Source organism: Homo sapiens, chromosome 5 (genome assembly GCF_000001405.40).
Source record: "Homo sapiens chromosome 5, GRCh38.p14 Primary Assembly".
Taxonomy (NCBI): Eukaryota; Metazoa; Chordata; class Mammalia; order Primates; family Hominidae; genus Homo; species Homo sapiens.
Genome location: NC_000005.10, coordinates 174,202,888 through 174,221,163, shown reverse-complemented (window position 1 = coordinate 174,221,163; position 18,276 = coordinate 174,202,888). Strand labels below are relative to the sequence as shown.

General features: G+C 45.0%; 3 annotated features.

Annotated features, from left to right (window-relative positions):
* Positions 14,816-15,577: an enhancer, noted in NCBI's record as "H3K27ac hESC enhancer chr5:173632590-173633351 (GRCh37/hg19 assembly coordinates)". NCBI's record gives its function as "activates a minimal SCP1, AML or CMV promoter by ChIP-STARR-seq in primed H9 embryonic stem cells {active_cell/tissue: H9 hESC(primed)}" and the evidence as "EXISTENCE:reporter gene assay evidence [ECO:0000049][PMID:30033119]".
* Positions 15,578-16,340: an enhancer, noted in NCBI's record as "OCT4-NANOG-H3K27ac hESC enhancer chr5:173631827-173632589 (GRCh37/hg19 assembly coordinates)". NCBI's record gives its function as "activates a minimal SCP1, AML or CMV promoter by ChIP-STARR-seq in primed H9 embryonic stem cells {active_cell/tissue: H9 hESC(primed)}" and the evidence as "EXISTENCE:reporter gene assay evidence [ECO:0000049][PMID:30033119]".
* Positions 17,277-17,777: an enhancer, noted in NCBI's record as "H3K27ac hESC enhancer chr5:173630390-173630890 (GRCh37/hg19 assembly coordinates)". NCBI's record gives its function as "activates a minimal SCP1, AML or CMV promoter by ChIP-STARR-seq in naive H9 embryonic stem cells {active_cell/tissue: H9 hESC(naive)}" and the evidence as "EXISTENCE:reporter gene assay evidence [ECO:0000049][PMID:30033119]".

Below are 18,276 nucleotides of genomic sequence, written 5' to 3'. Positions count from 1 at the left end.
CGTGCCAATGGGCCTAGATGGGTTCTAAATCTGGAGACTGATGGTGAGGTCCCTGCAAATCCCATGCCCTGAGAACGAGGCTGGAATGGGTCCCCACATTAGAATCAGCAGCCATGACTGGAAGTAGGGTAAATGGATGCTGGGCAGGCATACAATGACCATTATTTCACACTGATTAGCATTGACTAAATGTATTTTGTGGTTCTAACAAGATTAGACTTTCAGAGCCAGGTCCTTATGTTGCCTTGTTGCCCCAAAATATGTCCTTTGTTCCCCTAGGTGGAGGCTTGATTTCATTCTGGGGGTGCAGGTGGTCTTTTCCCTGTATCTCTATCCCCTGACAGACTTCACCCCCAAATCTATACCAAGCATCCCCATCAGGCCATGGAATAGCATCTCATGAAACACAAAAAAAATCTGCATTCATCCATCACGAAAATGGCCCCATTCTTGGGAGCGTTTGTCTGCTTAACCACAGAAATCCAATTATCTTCTCTTCAGAAAGTGTGCATGTGGAGACCACTTTCTCTAATTAATTGGTTCTATTGCTTGTGCTGGGCCTTTCAGGGGGCCTGAGATGAGAGCTCTGTCTGGAAGGCTGATCAGGGATGTGAAAGCTTGGCTGCTCAAGGCCTTCCATTAGCTGAGCACAGCGAAGCAGCAATCTCGGGTCAGCTTTGCCGAGACAGTCTCTTGCTCTCTGCACTAAAACATGTGTTGCCAGCACTTGTGGGCAAGGGGTCCTGTCTTCCTCTTTTCTCCTACTTTATTCTATGATCTGGAAAAATGCCTCCACTCTGGATGACAGGGTGGTGTGTGGAGGCTGGCTCTTGTGTGCACTTATTCATTTGTCCCTTCAGCTCCTGCAAGTCCCCTCTTTCCTATCTGCTTCCAACCCCACTCCTAGTTTCTCCAGAGTTCCCCAGAGAGAACCTTGCTTGTGCTCTGCAAGTTGCCCAGACTGGGTGCAGCAGCTGGCTCTGATTTTGGGGTGCCACAGCTCCCGGACCCTGGCCAGTGCTGCTGACCTACTTGGCACAGGCGGTAGCCATGGTGATTCCTCCATCCTGGTGGTTCCTGGCTGAATGATGATCCCCAACAATGTCCATATCTCAATCCCAGAAACCCGTGAATGTTACCTGATATGAGATTTTGCAGGTGTGATTAACTTAAAGCTCTTGAGTTGGAGAGATCACCTGGATTAGCCCGGAGGGCCTGGATGGCCTGATATAATCATCAATGTCCTTAGAGAGGCAGAAGATGAGAACAAGGAGAAGGCTATGTGAAACGGAAGCAGAATGGTCCCAAAAATATAGTTAGATAGAATGAAAAAGATCCAGTATTTGATAGCACAACATGGTGACTACAGTCAACAAACATTTATTGTACATTTTAAAATAACTAAAAAAGTGTAATTGGAATGTTTGTAACACAAACACAAGTGATGGATACCCCATTTCCCTGAAGTGATTATGTGTTTGCATACCTGTATCAAAATATCTCTTGTACACCATAAAGATTAAAAATAACAAAATTTAATTAAAAAAACGGAGATTGAAGTGATGTGGCTATACCCCAAGGAACATGGGCAACCTCTAGAAGCAAGGACTGGGGAGCAGAAGAATTGTCCAGAGGCCTCTAGAGGAACCAGCCCTGCAGACATCTCGATTTTAGCCCATGAGACAGATTTTGGAATTGACCTCCAAATCTGTAAGAGAGTAAATGTGTGTTGTTTTAAGCCACTACATTTGTAATCATTTGTTATAGAAGCAACAGGAAACTAATCCACTGCCTCTGACTGGTTCTCTTGAAAAGTGAAGGGGAGGAATGGAGAATGGCTTTCACCCCTGTGAGTAGCACCTGACAATGGGGACCCCAAAGAAGTGTTGCTTGGGCTCCACTGTTGTGGGAGTTCACAGGAAGCGGTGCTTTCAGTTCTTATCTGTTTGAAGTCATGGAGAGTGTGGCCAGGAATTGGGCTGTGCTGCTGTCCTGAGACTCAGCATTCTTCTCCATTGCTGGGGTGTCAGCCATGTCGGTGAGTTCTGCTGGTGCGATGTGCCCTCACTCTGATCTATTATCTCCAAGAGGTTCCTAAGCCCCTGGACAAAGACCTTGAAATAACCTCAAAATAACCATAGGAGCAAGGTTTGCCATATCAAGGAACCACTGCTCTTGGTTATAAAAAGAGTATGTTCCATGGATATCAGGGAGCCCGGGTTTACCTCCCTACACTTGTGAGAGAAAAACGTATGCAACAGAAGGTAAGAAATGAGGCCTGGTTGTCTGTAACCCTGAATCTCAGCATCTACTCTACTCAGCCAAACATTCCCCTGCCACTTGTGAAAGAGTTGAAAGGATTTTAATAATCTAACACTTGCTGAGTACCTACTAAATGCCTGGTGCTAACTGCTTTATGTGGAAGACCTCATTTGACCCTCCCAATAATTTCACAAGGAAAATATTATCATTATTCCCATTTTACAGATGAGGAAATAATGGTCTATCCTAATTCAAGCCTTGAGATTGTTATAGGACCAACAGGTTTGTATGCATGTTGCTCAGTAACAGACCAATTATCCTGACACAGCAGTTTGCCACAGAGAAAGAGTTTAATGATAGCAGGTTGCTGAGTGAGGAGATGAAAGGAGACCCCAAAACCATTTCCCTGAGGAGTCCTGGGCTGGGGATTTTAAGGGGATTATGGAGGATGGGGAGCTGGAAAGTTGGGGTCATTGATTGGCCAGGGTAAGCGGGATGAAACCAGCAGTATGTGGAGACTGCGCTTTTTGGTGAGTCACCATCTTATGGGCTCCTTCAGACCAGCTGATGTCAGCAGTTTTATTGGCTTGTAGGATCTGAAAGCATATCTCAAAGAGAAAATTTAATGTTTCATAATATTAATGTTGTATAGCTGCTCTATGGAACAGTTAAGGGGAGCCATATAGTCTTGTAACAGGGTTTACATAATTCTAGAGCAATAGCAAAAAACTATGAGGCAGCAGGTCAGAGAGCAGGCTGAACTAGTGATTAATGCTGAATGTGCTGCAAGCCTGGTATATTTTCATTTCTCCCTCTCTCTTCTTCTCTGATTAATTTTATAAAGTTTATAGAAACAATTTCAGAATCAGACTATGTTTGGAGAGTGTTAGATACTGTACCACTAGCTGTGGTAACTGATAAACACCAAAATCTCAGTGGCTAAAATTTATCTCTTATTTATACAAAATCTAGTTGGTGACTATACTCCATGTAGTCATTCAGGGATCCAGGCTTTCCTTTTTGAGGCTTTCCCATCCCAACACCCTCAGAGTCCTTCTAGTCCAGCTCTGAAAGGGGAAAGTGAGAAAGGGTTCCCCTGAGAGGAGTTTCATAGGCCAGACCTAGAAGTGGTGACATCACTTCTGGCTACACTCATTGGCCAGAACTCAGTCATATGACCATGCCTAATTGCAAGGAAGCTGGAGAAATGTGTTTGGTCACGTGCTTGGGAGAAAAGGGAACCCAGAACATTGCCACTGCCTCAGAAGAAAGAGTCTCTGATAACTCTCCAGTTTCTAAATTGGGCAAGCACATAAATGGTGATTCCATTAACCCTAGAGAAGATGATCCACTGTATACCTACCAGAATAATTAAAATCCATTAGGACACTAACAACATGAAATGCTAGTGAGGATGTGGAGCAATATGAACTCTCATTCATTGGTGGTGGAAATGCAAAATGGCATAGCCACTTTGGTAGACAGTTTGGCAGTTTCCTACAAGCTAAACATAACCTTACCATATGATCTAGCCATCGCTCTCCTTAGCGTTTACCCAGAGGAGCTGAAAAGTTATGTCTACACAAAGCCTGCACATAGATGTTTATGGCAGTTTTATTCATAATTGCCAAAACTTGGAAGCAATTAAGATGTCCTTCAGTAGGTCAGTGGATAAATAAACAATGGTTCATCTAGACGATGGAATATTATTCCTTGTTAAAATAAATGAGTTTTCCAAATATTAGAAGGAGCCTAAATGCCTACAGGGACTGGTAAGTAAATTGTGATACATCCATATAATGAAACACCATGTAATTATGAAAAAGATTAAGATGGCTCTGTAGGTTTGGCACAGATGTGAGTGATATATACAAGTGTGAAAATATGAAGTAAGTTCCAATTTGTAAGTGTGTATTTGGGTGGAAATGCCCCATTTTCTTAACAGTAATTATTTCTTGAAATAAAATTACGGGCTTAACGAGTGAAGGGAAGTTGTACTTCTTTATTTAAAAGTAAGCATTAACGATTCTTATAATTTAGTAAGAGGTTAAATAAATAGGTCAACAAATTGGCAAAAGAGACATTAATTTTATAAATAAATGGGGGGACACAGAAAGAAAAGAAAAATAGAGCTAATAAGCTAAAATAAGGAAAGTTGTTAAATTTTGACAAATAATAAAAACAAAGGAATGATGAGTTCTTTTATTAAAAAATAGTCAAACAACAAAATGACATTAAAATATCACACCTTGTGCTGGCAAAGGTGCAATGAAATGGACACTTTCTTGTATAATTAATGACATTTAAATTTTACATAAGCCTTTGGGGATAAAGTTTGGCAATTTATACCAGGGGCAATAGGACTATTTATGCCCTGGTACTCACAATAATCTTAACTCTGAAATGTAATTTTTGGAGATAATTCAACCTAAATGAAAGTTCATATACACAAACACAGTGACAATCTGGGAGTAATTTGAGATAGAATAGTTAAGTAAAATAAGGGACAGTTACTGTGGGGAATTAAACAATTATGGTATTTATAGGCACCTAGTAAGAGCTAAGTAAATGCTAGCTGCTGCTATTGTTATTATTATTATTATTATTCCACTAAAAAACTGAATCATTAAAACAATGAGCTTTGTTTTTTTAAAAAATGAGTTTTAAAAAAGAAATGAGCTTTCAAGCTATAAAAAGACATAGAAGAGCCTTAAACAGATATTACTAAGTGACAGGAACCAATCTGAAAAGACTACCTACTGTATGATTCCAGATATCTGACATTCTGGAAAAGGCAAATCTACAGAGGCAGTACAATGTCAGTGGCTACCAGGATTCGGGAAAGGGAGGGATGGCAGGCAGAGCACAGTGGATTTTTAGGGCAGGGAAACTCCTCTGTATGATACTATAATGATGGATACACAACCATACACATTTGTCCAAATCCATCAAACGTACAACACCAAGAGTCAAGACTTTGAGAGATCATGCTGTGTCAACGTCGTTCATCAATATACCACGCTGGTGGGTGACATTAACAGGGGAGGCGCTGCACATGCTGGGGCAGAGGGTAGGTGGGAAATCCCTGTACCTACAGCTCAATATTGCTGTTAATCTAAAATTGCTCTAAATAGTAAAGTCTATTAAAAGAAAAACAGAGAGAGAGAGATGAGGTGACGAGGGAGAAGGAGGACAATCAGATATATACATGGTAAATTTACAGAGCCAGTAGGAGCTTTGATAAGGACTGGATATATATGTCCTCAGCTTGGGGTCAACCAGAATCAAACAGGAGACGTCCTGTGCTTCCGAGAGAAGCTCAAGTCTTCCGGGTCTCTGCTCTCAGCCTTAAAAGACATCAACCCCAGGGTGTCCACCGTGCCAAAATGGAGCACCTCAGACCTGGTCCCATTGTCCCCAAACTCCTCACAATTGTTGTCCCAGCCAAACAGACGCGTCACTAATGAACGCCCACTGTGAAATTTTGGCCAGCATGGGGTGCAATTTTTGTTTATCTCAGAATTCTCAAAGGGAGAGAACAGTGAGGGCCTGAAGTGGAAAAAAGCCATCTCCACCATTCCCGCTTCTGTGCATTCTCTCATTTTCCTCCTTCATGGAGCTGCAATACGTGCAAGTCACTGGGGCTCATTGGACCACTCTGGTTCCTGCAGTTCATCAGACTCACAATGAATAGAAGAGATGCCAAGGGCTGCAGTTTTATAAAGAAGCAAGAGTGTTCAATTTCAGCTTGGAAGATGAAGGGAGGCCAGGGCTCCTGGCAATCGGTTGTGAGGGACAGGTCCGCACTGCTCAGAGGAGACCACAAGGCCTCTCGGTTTGGCCCGATCCCAGACACAGATACCAAAAAGATGTCACAGTCTTTCTTTCTTAATGATGTGTACAGAAATCCTCCCCCTCCCTAATAGTCCAATGGGGTCACATTCTAGAACACAGTCATCGTTGCCCCCTGTTACTCACTAGAATAATTAGACCCAAATCCTGTGCTTCAAATAACCCAGCATGAAGAGCACCGACTCTGCTCTGGACCTTGTTTGAACATTGATGAATAAGACATGCATCTGCCCTAAACGGATGCACAGGCTACAAAGGGAAACACACGTGAGAAGGATGAAAATGAAGACAATGGCAACAATGATGCGCTTACTGTTTGAAGTGAAAGGAGATGTTTTGTTTGTATCCAGGTGGCATTGGGATGCAGGTCCAGGAAACCCTCAGTCAAGCCCTGCTGCTCACCTTCTTCCCTGCTCAATGCAGGAGAACTATCTGCAAGGAGCAAGAGCCGAGTGTTCACAAGGAAGTGCTTAATTAACTGGGCAACTGTCTGAAACCAACAGCCCCACCACCTCCCTGAGAGCAGAGCTCTCTGGTAATACCTGGACTGAAATAAGAAACTTAGGTTGGAGGTCTTGATAAGCCTTTTCTGCAACTGAGCACTCCCCTTCCAAATCGAAATCTCTGGCTAGCACGAGCTGGGGCTGAACACATTCACCCACACAGCTCCCTGGGAGGGAGAGAGGTGTGTGCCCTGGGGAACAGGGTCCACCTGTCTGAGACCAGAGTGCCAGAGAGCACAGTGCCCTTGGTGCTAATCACTGAGGCACAGTTTCCCCTCAGCTCCATGGAAGGTCCTGGCTGTCAAGACTCAGCACCCCTTCCTCTTTTGTGGCGGAGCTGAAAAGGGGCTGGGGGAGAAGCAGTGATGCCTGGAGAGAGCAAATGAAAGGGCTCCTCCTCTGCAGCTTTCTAGGAGATCCTGTGACTTAGCCGGTATCACACAGCTACTGCCTTGTGGTGGGAGGCCCCCATTCTGTGTGCACCACAGCACAGCCAAGGGCTACAACAGCGGGCTGTGCAAGGAGCCTTGGAGTAAAACAAAGGAGCTGTTGGTTCAGCTAGAAATGGGAGACAGGTGGAGCCCCATGAAGGGGTCCCCGAAATGAGAATGCAGGAAAAGCATTTCTGGAGGAGGACCCCAGGATAAAGGCAGGGCATGTGGAGCATGCTCCTCCCACAGCACGTCTACCAGGTGCGGAAGCCCTCAGTGTCCTTGTCTCTAGTGTAGTGTCTGGGACCCAAGCCTGCAGGGAGACCCAGGAGACAAGCTGGGACCTGGGTGTTGCAGCAAGGAGTTTCCACTCTATTCCATAGGTGGCTGAAGGGGAGCATAGGCTTACAGGGAGCAAGGCCACATTGTCTCATGGGTGATCGGGCAGTGCAGAGGATGGGAGAGGCTGCAGGTGTGCGAGGGGACAAGGAAGAGGCCAGAGCTAGGGCCGTGGCAGTCAGGATAGAAATGGTTGGCCACAGTGAAGAGTCCTTTAGAGGACTGGCCAGGTGAGGTTACCAATTAGATGGCAAATAGAAAGAGGGGAAGAAAGAAGGAAGCTGGGGATTATAGCTTGGGGTCCTTGGATGAGAGCTCATTAAGACAAGAATCAGAAGGAAGGAAGCAGAACTGGGCAGAGGAAGAGAACATGGGGAAGCGTGTTTAGAACCATCCAACACCTGCAGAAAGAGACTGTATATCATCAATTTAGCACACATTTTCACTCAGATTTTAACATATCTGAAATTGTAATGCATCTTGCAACTGATGTTTCCAGAAAGCCATGTATCATAGTTTAGTTGGCAGCATTTTCTCCTTCCTAGTGGTGTGTCAAAAACATGTTTTCACAATTGATGGCAACTTAGATTGTATGAGATGATCTTGCTGAGTTGGCTTTGAGAGGTGTGGAAGCCTAGAACTCAGCTCTCTCCTGCTTTGTGGCACTTAGGTGACTTTGAGCACAAGTTCCTTCCTGGGACTCCGTGTCCTTGTCTCTAATGTAGGGCTAGTCACTGGTGCAGTAGCATTTGCTCAAAGGAGCTGTCCTGGGCTCCCTAACTAAGCTCAGAAGATTTGGAGTTGAAGCTGTTTTAGGATTAAACCATTTTACTGTCTTTCTTCCCCTACCAGCTGTATGCATTGTCTGATCCCTTAAAAAGCCACCTAGCACCCCAAATCCATCAACTGATACATCTTTTTTTTAAAGCGTGTATCCATGCGATGGAGTAGTATTCAGCCATAAAAAGGAGCAAAGTACTGATTCATGCTACAGCAGGATGAACTTTGAAAACATGCCAAGTGAAAGAGGCCAGTCACAAAGGACCACATGTTATATGATTCCATTTCTATGAAATGTCTATAAAAAGCAAATCTATGGAGACAGAAAGTACATTAGTAGATCAGTAGTTGACAGGGGCTGGGAGGTGGAGAGGAGATGGCTAAGTGGCAGGGTATTTTTTAGGGTATGAGGATGTTCTAAAATTGATTGTGGTGAGAATTGTTAATTCCGTGAATGCACTAAAAGCTGTCGAATTTTATACTTTAAATGAATCCATGGTACGGTGTGTGAATTATATCTCAATAAACTGCTTTGTTTTAGAAGCCACTGTTTTAGAGTGCTTCCCTTTCTCCCCAGCTGGCAAATAAGTCCTGTAAAATTTGAGGTCTGTGTCTGCTCCACGGAGCTGGAGCATAGGAGAGGGAGCCCGGAGCCCAGGGCTGGAACTGAAGACCTCAGTGTGGAGCACTGGCCAGGTGACAGGAGAAGGCTCCCAGAAAGGCCGCCCCATGTCTCCCGATGATCCCTCCCATCCTCCCCACTCCGTATCTCCCTCTCCATTAGGGGAGAGGGAGTGGGCTGCAACAGAGGGCCAGTAGCAGAATGTTACAGAGGGGGAAGAAATGGGTTTGAGGCCTTTCTGGTCCAGAAGCTCTGTTTTGGGTGTTTTGGGGCGGGGTGCTCTGGGCATATCAAGGCATGAGAGTAAAGATTTGCAACTGTGGGCTCTGAATCCCGATGGTCTGATTTTGAATCTTGGGTATCCGTCTCCTGTGTGAGCTTGGTTCACTTACTCAGGCTCTCTGTGCCTCAGCCTTCCCATCTGTAAAGAGGAGATGGGAATCCTGTCTTCCTCCAAGGTTTTTATGAATGGGGCCCAGACTGGGGTGAGAGTGAGGGCTGAGGATGCAAAATATAAGGAGAAACTCCCCTCACTGCATGCACAATGTGAGCATCTCCTTACATTTCATTCAAGATTGGTTGAAAGAGCTTTGCAGGGTGCCTGGCAAATCGAGAGCTCTCACCTGCAGGGCTGGCCCAGAGGGATGTGGGGGCTGGGTGGATAGGTGCTGGCCACAAAGGCCACTCTCGCTGGCCTGCCTTCTCTTCTCATGGCCATGTCCCACTTCTTTCCTTCTTTTCCTTTCCAACTGAAGCTCTATAATGTTGTATCAACACCCTCTCCTCCCCTACACACAGCCTTTCCTTCCTCTCCTTCCACTTTCTCCCCCTTTTCAGGATTTAACGTTCTCTGAGATATTTACACATTTGAAACTACTCAAAAAGGAAGGGGGGATATTAAATTGAGAGCCAAAAATGCCATGGAGAGAGAAGCAAACGCTCCCACAATTAACAGCCTTGGGAATAACAGCTTTGCCAGCAGCTCTCCCGCCCTCCTGAGCCTGCAGCTCTGCGGGGCTGCCTTTGCTTGCTGTTGTGAAGAACAAAAAGGGGAAGAATTATGTCTCTTTCCTCCACTCTCCTCTTTTCTTCCCTCATCCTTCCTTGACACTGACAGCATAATTTACCTGTGTTTCAGCTTTGGGTTCATTCATTTTTTTTTTTCAATAAGCACCTTGCATTCGTGATTTTATTTTCCTTTCCCAATTGTCTTTCAAGGTTGAAATTATCCCCACTTCACAGGTAAGAAAACTGAGGTTTAGAGATAAATACGACATGATTCTTGACTCCAGGGAATCCAAACATTAGTAGTGAAGGTGAACACACCAGTACCCCCTGAGGATGGAGGGGGAGGACATTCACCCAGCGTGTCCCTGAAGGCTATCTTATAACCAGCTCTCTATCAGCATCTCTGGGGGAAATAAAGCCCCAAGAGATTGTAAAAGATTTATCTTTGGTCACCACACTGGTGAAAGGTGTAGTTGGAGTCGGATTTAGTTCTGGTGAGGTTTCCTGGCAGGTGGTTCCTTCTCTACTGGGAATATTGTCTGGGCTTTGGACAAGGCATTGCCATGACTACTCCAAGCATCCGAGAGGAGTAACATGGTCCCCCACTCCTGGCACTCACTGACGGCGGGAGTACAGAGTAGGCTTCATCTTTTGCTATGCCCACTCACTCATGAATCCTATGCTGGGAACAGCACCTCCCTCTTCTTTTGGAAAAATCCTTTCCCTTACTCAGCCCCTGGTCTTTGAGTGAACTTGACTCCACTCCGAGCATAAGAGGTGCATATACGACCAGATTTAGCCATACAAAGCACCCTATCACCTAGCCCCATGATTGGCTCAGGATGGGCATATGACCCCCCCAGAGTGAGAGAAATGCAATTTTGTAATCTTTTCTGAGACAAGGCTGTGAGAGCCTTCTCAGCACAACACAAGGAAACTCCAACTGAGATTGGCGTCGCCATAGAGGAAGGCAGCACCAGGAATAGAGGCTGCATGCTGCAGGCATTCTCTGACACCTGGAGATGTCCCTTGTAGGAGGAACCAGGAAGCTCCCTCTCCACGTATGCTGGGGCAGTGAGTGCCTATCCTGTGAAACCCAGAGTCCTGGCAAGAGGGATTAGGGCACAGATGTCAGCCCTAGGCAGGACAGATGGAGGATGTGGGAGCTGGGGGAGGAAGAGGAGAGTCATCCAGGATGGGAAGACTGGGGAATGGCCCGTGGAGGAGGCAGCATCCAGGTGGATCTTGAAGGGAGAAGGATCATGCCAGGTGCAAAGCCAGAGGAATCTTAAAAAGTAAGCCTGGTTCCCGTAATGTGGACCCTTTGTGCTTTCCTGCCTCAGCTCACCCCTCTTCAACCCCAGCTCACCCCTCTTCACCCCCAGCTCACCCCTCTTCACCCCCAGCTCACCCCTCTTCACCCCCAGCCCATGAGACCCCAGCCTTGCCAGGATGTGTCCATGAAAGCCATTGTACAGGCTGTTCTCTGCTCTTGAGTGACCCTCGTCTGGCTCCTTAGGACCTGAGCCCAAACCCATTTCCAGGGCCGGCATATTCATTAAGCGCCAGAGGCACCATGCCCTAAAAATATCATGGGCCTATAAAGTGTTTCAATTTCAGTTTATCTTAAAAAGAAAAATGTCGATAGGACCATAATGAATATATAATAAAGAATACAGCCAGAAATATACTCGTCTTTATCACCAACATACCAATATAGCCATAAAATAACTTGTTAATTTGTTTAAGAAAGGAAGAGGCCCATGGAAGCAAAAGTGCTTACCACTCATTAAAATCGCGACGTGGTCCTGCCCATGTCCCTTGGGGAGGCCTTTCCTGATGCCCCAGACTTCAGAGGACTTCTACATCCTTCTTTGGACATTTATTATTTGTTTTTATAAAATTAATTTCCTTTACTTTATAAAAGGAAGAAAGGAATTTCCTTTGATTTTTATAATTACTTGTTATCTCCCGCCAGACTACACACTCCATGAATGTATGTTTCACGAACACCTGGTACACTGGCGAAGAATGGATGAACAATCGAATGAATGAATAAATGCATTAGTTTAATTAACTTTCGTTTTGGAAACTATGTTCCTTCTTCTGCAGCTTTGTATTCTTCAAGCTTCAAGACTTCCCTCAGCCTCTGGCCTGGGGGGATCACAGTTTCTCCTCTAGTCCCTAGATAAGAACTGACCTGTTAGGTAAAGTCAGCCGCACAGGACTCTCTATGCAAAGAGACTCTGTGTCAGTTTCAATTATCTTTCTCTCATTCTATCTTCATATCACTGAGGCATGAGGGATAAGGGAGTAAGTTTAGGCAGATTTATCTATATTTGGGAATAGCATTGGCACAGGTTTCACCCTAGCTCACTTATTGAAAATGACATCATTAAGGTTTATCACTTGGAAATTTGCCTAACCTCAGAGTTATTTTTCCTGATGTGCATTTGTAAAGTCCTTGTAACTTTGGCTGGTTTGTTGATCCATTCATTTATTTAATTAATATTTATTAGCACCTATTCCATGGATGCAGTAGGCTTTATCCAAGATAAGAAGATGAAGAGTGCTGACTGGAACAGAGGGAGGTGCTTACAAATGTCCCTTTCTCTTCTCCCACCGACCTCATCTTACCACCCACAGAGAATTTCTGCTGACACCTTCTTTCCCATATCACCTGCATCTTCATATTGTCTTCCTGAACTGCTCTGAGAATTCAAAAATTTTCTCCCTCCATTAAGCAGAGTAATTCACTTCTCTCTAGCTCCTGCTTCATCTAACAGAATCCATTTCACTTCACTCCACCTCTTGCTTCATTTAACAGGATCCATTCATTCTTTTCCTTTTTTTGTTTGCTTTTCATGTTCCTTTGAGAGAAGTTGTAATTATAGAAAAATATTTTGTTACAGAATTATTTGTAGTCTCAGAACTTCATTTTAACATCCCCTTTATGGGTTTTGTTTCCCAAGAGAAATACTATAGGAAGGAGAAATTTCTCAGTGACATCTGTGTACATCCTGGGAACCCAAAACCAACAGACCAGGGTAATTATCCAAGGAAAGAGGTTCCTCCTTTCTAAAAGTTTTGGGCCATTAGGTTAGGGAAAATGTTGGGAAGGAAGACTATAGCCATTCACAATAAATACAACTGAGTGGCTTCCATAACTGAATGGTTCAGTGGCTTCAGGAGAGGTGTGATCCAGCTGCTCTAACAATGTAAATGGAATCTGACATTTCTGCTTCCTCAGAATGGTTGCAGTCCCCATAGGCTCATGGTGGCAAGATGCCCACCAGTGATATCCTGGGTCACATGCTTCCTTATTCAAATCTAGTACGTAAAAAGAAAATCTGCCTTATTAGTCAATGTGAACCAAAAAAGTTGAGTCCTATTGGCTCTGATTGGCCTGAGTTGGGTTGTGTGCTCATTTTGAATCCATCACTGTGGCCAGGCTAAAACCAATAAGGACTCAATTGTGGAGTCAATCCCCCTTAAATTTCAACAGTCAGGAAATTCAGGTGCACCTGGTAAGGGGGAACTGAAGAAACATTCAATTTACAGATATCTACTGAAGGTCTCTTCCAGTAGCAAATTCTGAGGTCATCTCATGGGAAAGCCACATCAGAAAGTGGATGTTGAAAGGTACGTAGGATTTCAGGGGGCAAGAAATGGAGGATTGGGAGGGTGAAGAGGTTTGGGAATGAATTCCAAGTGGAGGGAAGTATGTAGCCAAAGACACAGAGGGGGGAAAGCAGCAACTGCCTAATCATTCTTAACAGCCCATTATGCTATCTGACATACATAGGTCCCAGCATGCTGATCTCCTGGAGCAACCGACCTTCCTTGATAGGCTTGGAGGATGCTGTGTATTTTGTTTCCTCCCAGTTTGTGTGTGCGTTTGTTTTTCTTTGTTTATCCCAGTGTGATGTGTGGAAGGACCAAGGACCGGGCCTCAGGGGCAGCCTCCACCACTTATTATCTCTAAGGCCTTGGACTAGTAACATTTCCTCCCCCAACCCATTTTCTTTTTTTATTAATTTAATTTTTTTATTTCAATCGCTTTTGGGGTACAAAAGTCTTTTGGTTACATGAATGAATTATATTCTAGCGATTTCTGAAATTTTAGTGCACCTGTCACCTGAGCAGTGTACGTTGTACCCAATATGTAGGTTCTTACTCCTCACGCCCCTCTCGCCCTCCCCCTTTTGAGTTTCCAAAGTCCATTATACACTCTGTGTGCATTTGTGTCCTCATAGCTTAGCTCCCATTTATAAGTGAGAACATATGGTATTTAGTTTTCTATTCCTGAGTTACTTCACTTAGAATAATGGCCTCCAGCTCTATCCAAGTTGCTGCAAGACATTATTTCATTCTTTTTAATGGCTGAGTAGTATTCCACCTTGTATGTATACCACATTTTCCACGCTATGGGTCAACGGACACTTGGGCCCTAACCCATTTTCTCATCTGTAAAAGAGAATACTAATCCTACCTCACAGAGTTGGTGAGTGTTCCACGAGATAATATCTGCAAAATGCCCAGCACATGGCCCAGCTCACAGGGGTGGTACTGGGAAGAGCAGTGAGCTACTGTAAGAAAGAGGGAAAATCATTCACAGTCTGAAGGAACACAGAAGTCTATTCTTGCCCCAGAAGAGTGCTGAAATGACAGAGCAGCTCTGGTCTACATGGTAATCCAGGGGCCAGGTTGCTGGCATTCTGGGGTGGTTGGCTGAGTGGCTGGAGCTGAGGCATGGAGCAAGCATCCCAAGATCCTAAGGCCCCAAAGAGAAGCATCAGCGGATGCTGGGAACAGAGATTTGTTGGGCCGTTGGGCAGCTGTGGACCCAGTTTCAACCCCACTACTCTGGAAGAAGAGAATAAATTTTGGTGGATACTAATATAGGTCCTCGGTATAGGTTTTCAATAAACAGTTCTTGCTATTTTCAAGATGTCCTTCACCAAGTCAAATCAGTAGAGAATTTCAAGAGGCAGCAGAAAGACTAAAAATATTCTTTCTTTAGTTAAGTGAAAATGTAGGGTTGATGTCATTGGCTAAGTTCAGCCGTTGACATTTTCTTTCCTGAACTGATGGCGCCATAAGTTCTTGTTAGCTTTTGTTTGGCAATCATACCCCATCAACTTTCTGAAAGAATGTTTGAAAATTAGAAATCTCAACAATAGATCCTTTGAAAGAAATCACAGGACTCAACTCTTAGATAAGAGTGCCTGGCAAGATAATTTACAACCCAGGATAAACCACCAGAGTTTATTCACCAAGGAGCTGACACAATGTGGAGGAAGGCATGGGCTTTGGCATCTGCCAGAATTTGGTTTGAAGAAGGAGCCAGCGTGCTTTCTGCAAGACTTCCTCTGTAGGAAACCATCAGCATTGATGGGGGGTGTCCATTCCCTAGGGGTCTCCTCTTCTCTGCAGGATCCACATCCAGAAATGATACTGAGTGGGAGTTTCAGAAATCTCCCTGCACCTGGCAAGATTCCCTAAACCCTACCGGTGCTGATAGCCACCATATAATATACCTTGGGGCCATCAGGGACTAATGTTATTACGGCCTTAAGCCTTGATAATGTTAGGACTTCTGTGGCCCTTGCCAGTGGAGGCTGTTCTCTCTCACACCCCACACACCGCTGTGCCTAGAGGCAGATAGGCATTCTCTAGGTTCCTCATGACTGTGTATCCTCCTCCCCAGCAATACCCTTGCTTTCCTTTCATGTCACTGGGACACAGCACCAATACCCCCTCCCAACGTGGCCCCATCTACAGGCAGTCCCCGGCTTATAATGGTTCCACTTATGATTTTTTGGCTTTACAATGGTGCAAAGGTGATACGCATTCAATAAAAACCATACTTCGAGTGCCCCTACAACAATTTTGTTTTTTATATTTAGTAGAGTATTCAATAAATTACACGAGATATCCAACATGTTATTATAAGATAGGTTTTATGCGGGATGATTTTGCCCAACTGGAGCCTAATGTAAGTGTTCTGAGCAGTTTAAGGTAGGCTAGGATTAGGTAGATTAAATGCATTTCTGACTTACAGTGTTTTCAATTTACGATCACTTCCATCCACATTTCATTGACTGGAACTGGTCCAGCATCCCTGCCCCTCTGCAGGAGGTTGAGAAATGCCATGTTCTGTGCACCTGGAAGGGGAGGAGAGCCAGTCATTGGTGAACATGAGCAATGGCCACCACACGCTCAGGAATGCAGATCAGCTGGAACGCAGAAAGGAATGCCGGCTGCCAGCAGAGCTCTCAATGAGCAGGTGCATCTCACTGTTCTCCGCTCCTCCCCCATCAGCCCCATTGCTTCCACATCGAAGAATACCAAGCTCAGACCCAGGTGGGGGAAAAAAAACAGCTTTCCTTTATCTTCAGATGTCACAGTTCTAATTATGCTCCTGTCTTCCCCTGCCAAGGGCATGAGCAGAAAATCAGAATTATCTAAAGAATGCAAAAAGAAATTTAGCCTTCAGACTAAATGTGTAACATTCCTGGCTTCCCACTTCAACAGGGCAGATATGGTTAAAAAAGATGAATTCTTGCTTTATGATGGAAAGTTCAAAATGAGTGAATTCACAAAAGAGCTGTTGGCAAAAGCTCCGGGTTTGGAATTAGAAAGATATGAGAGAGTGCCAGCTCCCCCCCCGTCACAGCATAGTCTCTATGAGATGAGTTTACCTCCCAGAGTCTTGTCTTTCCCATCTGTGATATTAGGCAGCAACACCTGCCCTGCAGGGTTTTGTGAGGATTGGAGATGACATGTGCACCTGCCTGGCCCCTGCTCTGGCCCCCGTTCTGCACTCCCTAGGGAGTGTCACTGTCCCCTCCTTCCTGTTCTAAGAGTATAAACCTATGAGATTGTGTTGATGACCAACTAGACACAGAGAGGACACATTAGACATAGCGGGACAATAGGCTGAAGTGCTTAGATGGTTTTTGTCCTTGCATTTCCTCATAGCCCTTGTCCCCTCACTCACCCAAACAGCCAGGGTGAGTAGGTTGTACTTAGTACCTCCAAGAAGGAAAGCTAAGCAAGCCCTTTCAGTTTTAAAAGCTGAGGCCCCCAGGGGAGCTTGCAAAATTCTACACAATACAATAAATTTAGGAGAATGAATAGATACAGAGGAACTAGGCCTGGCATGGCTCATGCCCATAATCTCAGCATTTGAGAGGCCGAAGTGGAAGGATCGCTTGAGTTCAAGACCAGCCTGAGCAACATAGCAAGATCCCATCACTACAAAAAAATAAAAATAAAGAATTAGCTGGTCATGGTGGCCCTCCTGTAGTTCCAGCTACTCGAGAGGCTGAGGCAGGAGGATTACTTGAGCCCAGGAGTTCGAGACTGCAGTGAGCTATGATTGTGCCACTGTACTCCATCTAGCCTGAGTGACAGAGCAAGACCCTGTCAAAAAAAAAAAAATAAAAAAGAACCAGATCCCCACCACCAAAACAAGATCAAGAGACCCCTGCGTATGAAAGTTGGGGCAGGAGAGAGGAGAGTTTCATGGCAGAGGGTCCCTCAGGAGGCTCTTGTGCCCTGTCCTTCTTGGGAGGCTCTCTAATCCCAGGGTGGGGAAGACGATGGAAACCCCAGGCCTAAAAGCAGAGGGCACCATAACTGTTTTTCCGGGTAGAGCCTTGGGAGGTAACAACATCCAGAAGAGGGGATCCATGCAGTATGACACAACAGACAGCCCAAGAAGGCCCCAGGGGTCTGCCTGGGAGTAGCTCAAAGATGCATAAACGGCCTTTAATCAGGAACCTTAAATTATGTCGTCTGTAGTCTGCTCTCTGCTGCCTATTCAAACTCCCTGATAGTTTCCCTACTTTTACCATAAATTAGGTTGCAAAGCACACCCTACTTTCCCCAGATTCGTGGCAGGGCCCAAAGAAGGCCTTGTGGGGAGGATATATCCTGTCTTCAGAAGGGCTGGGGAGAGGTCCACTCCTTTTAAAGCAGCTGCGATGAAGGTAATAGTATCCAGTCCTGAATTGTCATGCCAGGCTGCAGGCATCATCGGCCATGCTGCGTGTCCACTGTGTGAGTCCTGCAGTGGGTGGCGTCTCTCCTGGCTGTGTTGTTCTTGGAGTGAGACATTTAAATTCTGTCCTCAGGCCTTCCCAGATATTCTGTGCAACTTCCAGCCTTCTAATAAATCTTCTTCTGCTTAAACTACTGGAGTAGATTCTGTCATCTGCAACTAATCATGCTGGCTGACACAGTGACTTAGCAGTAACACATGTGCCCAACGGTGGAAAGGAGGAGATCTCAGCAAGTGCCCCTATAGGACAACAGTGAGGAACAGATGCCCATCTCATCATCCACCTCATCCGGCACATTGGCACTATGAACTCTCTGGAAGTTACATACAACTTCGATGCAAGGAAGGGACACTGAATAATCACTGTGATTACCTTTCCACCACTTAGCAGAGTGGTAAGTTAAAGTAGGC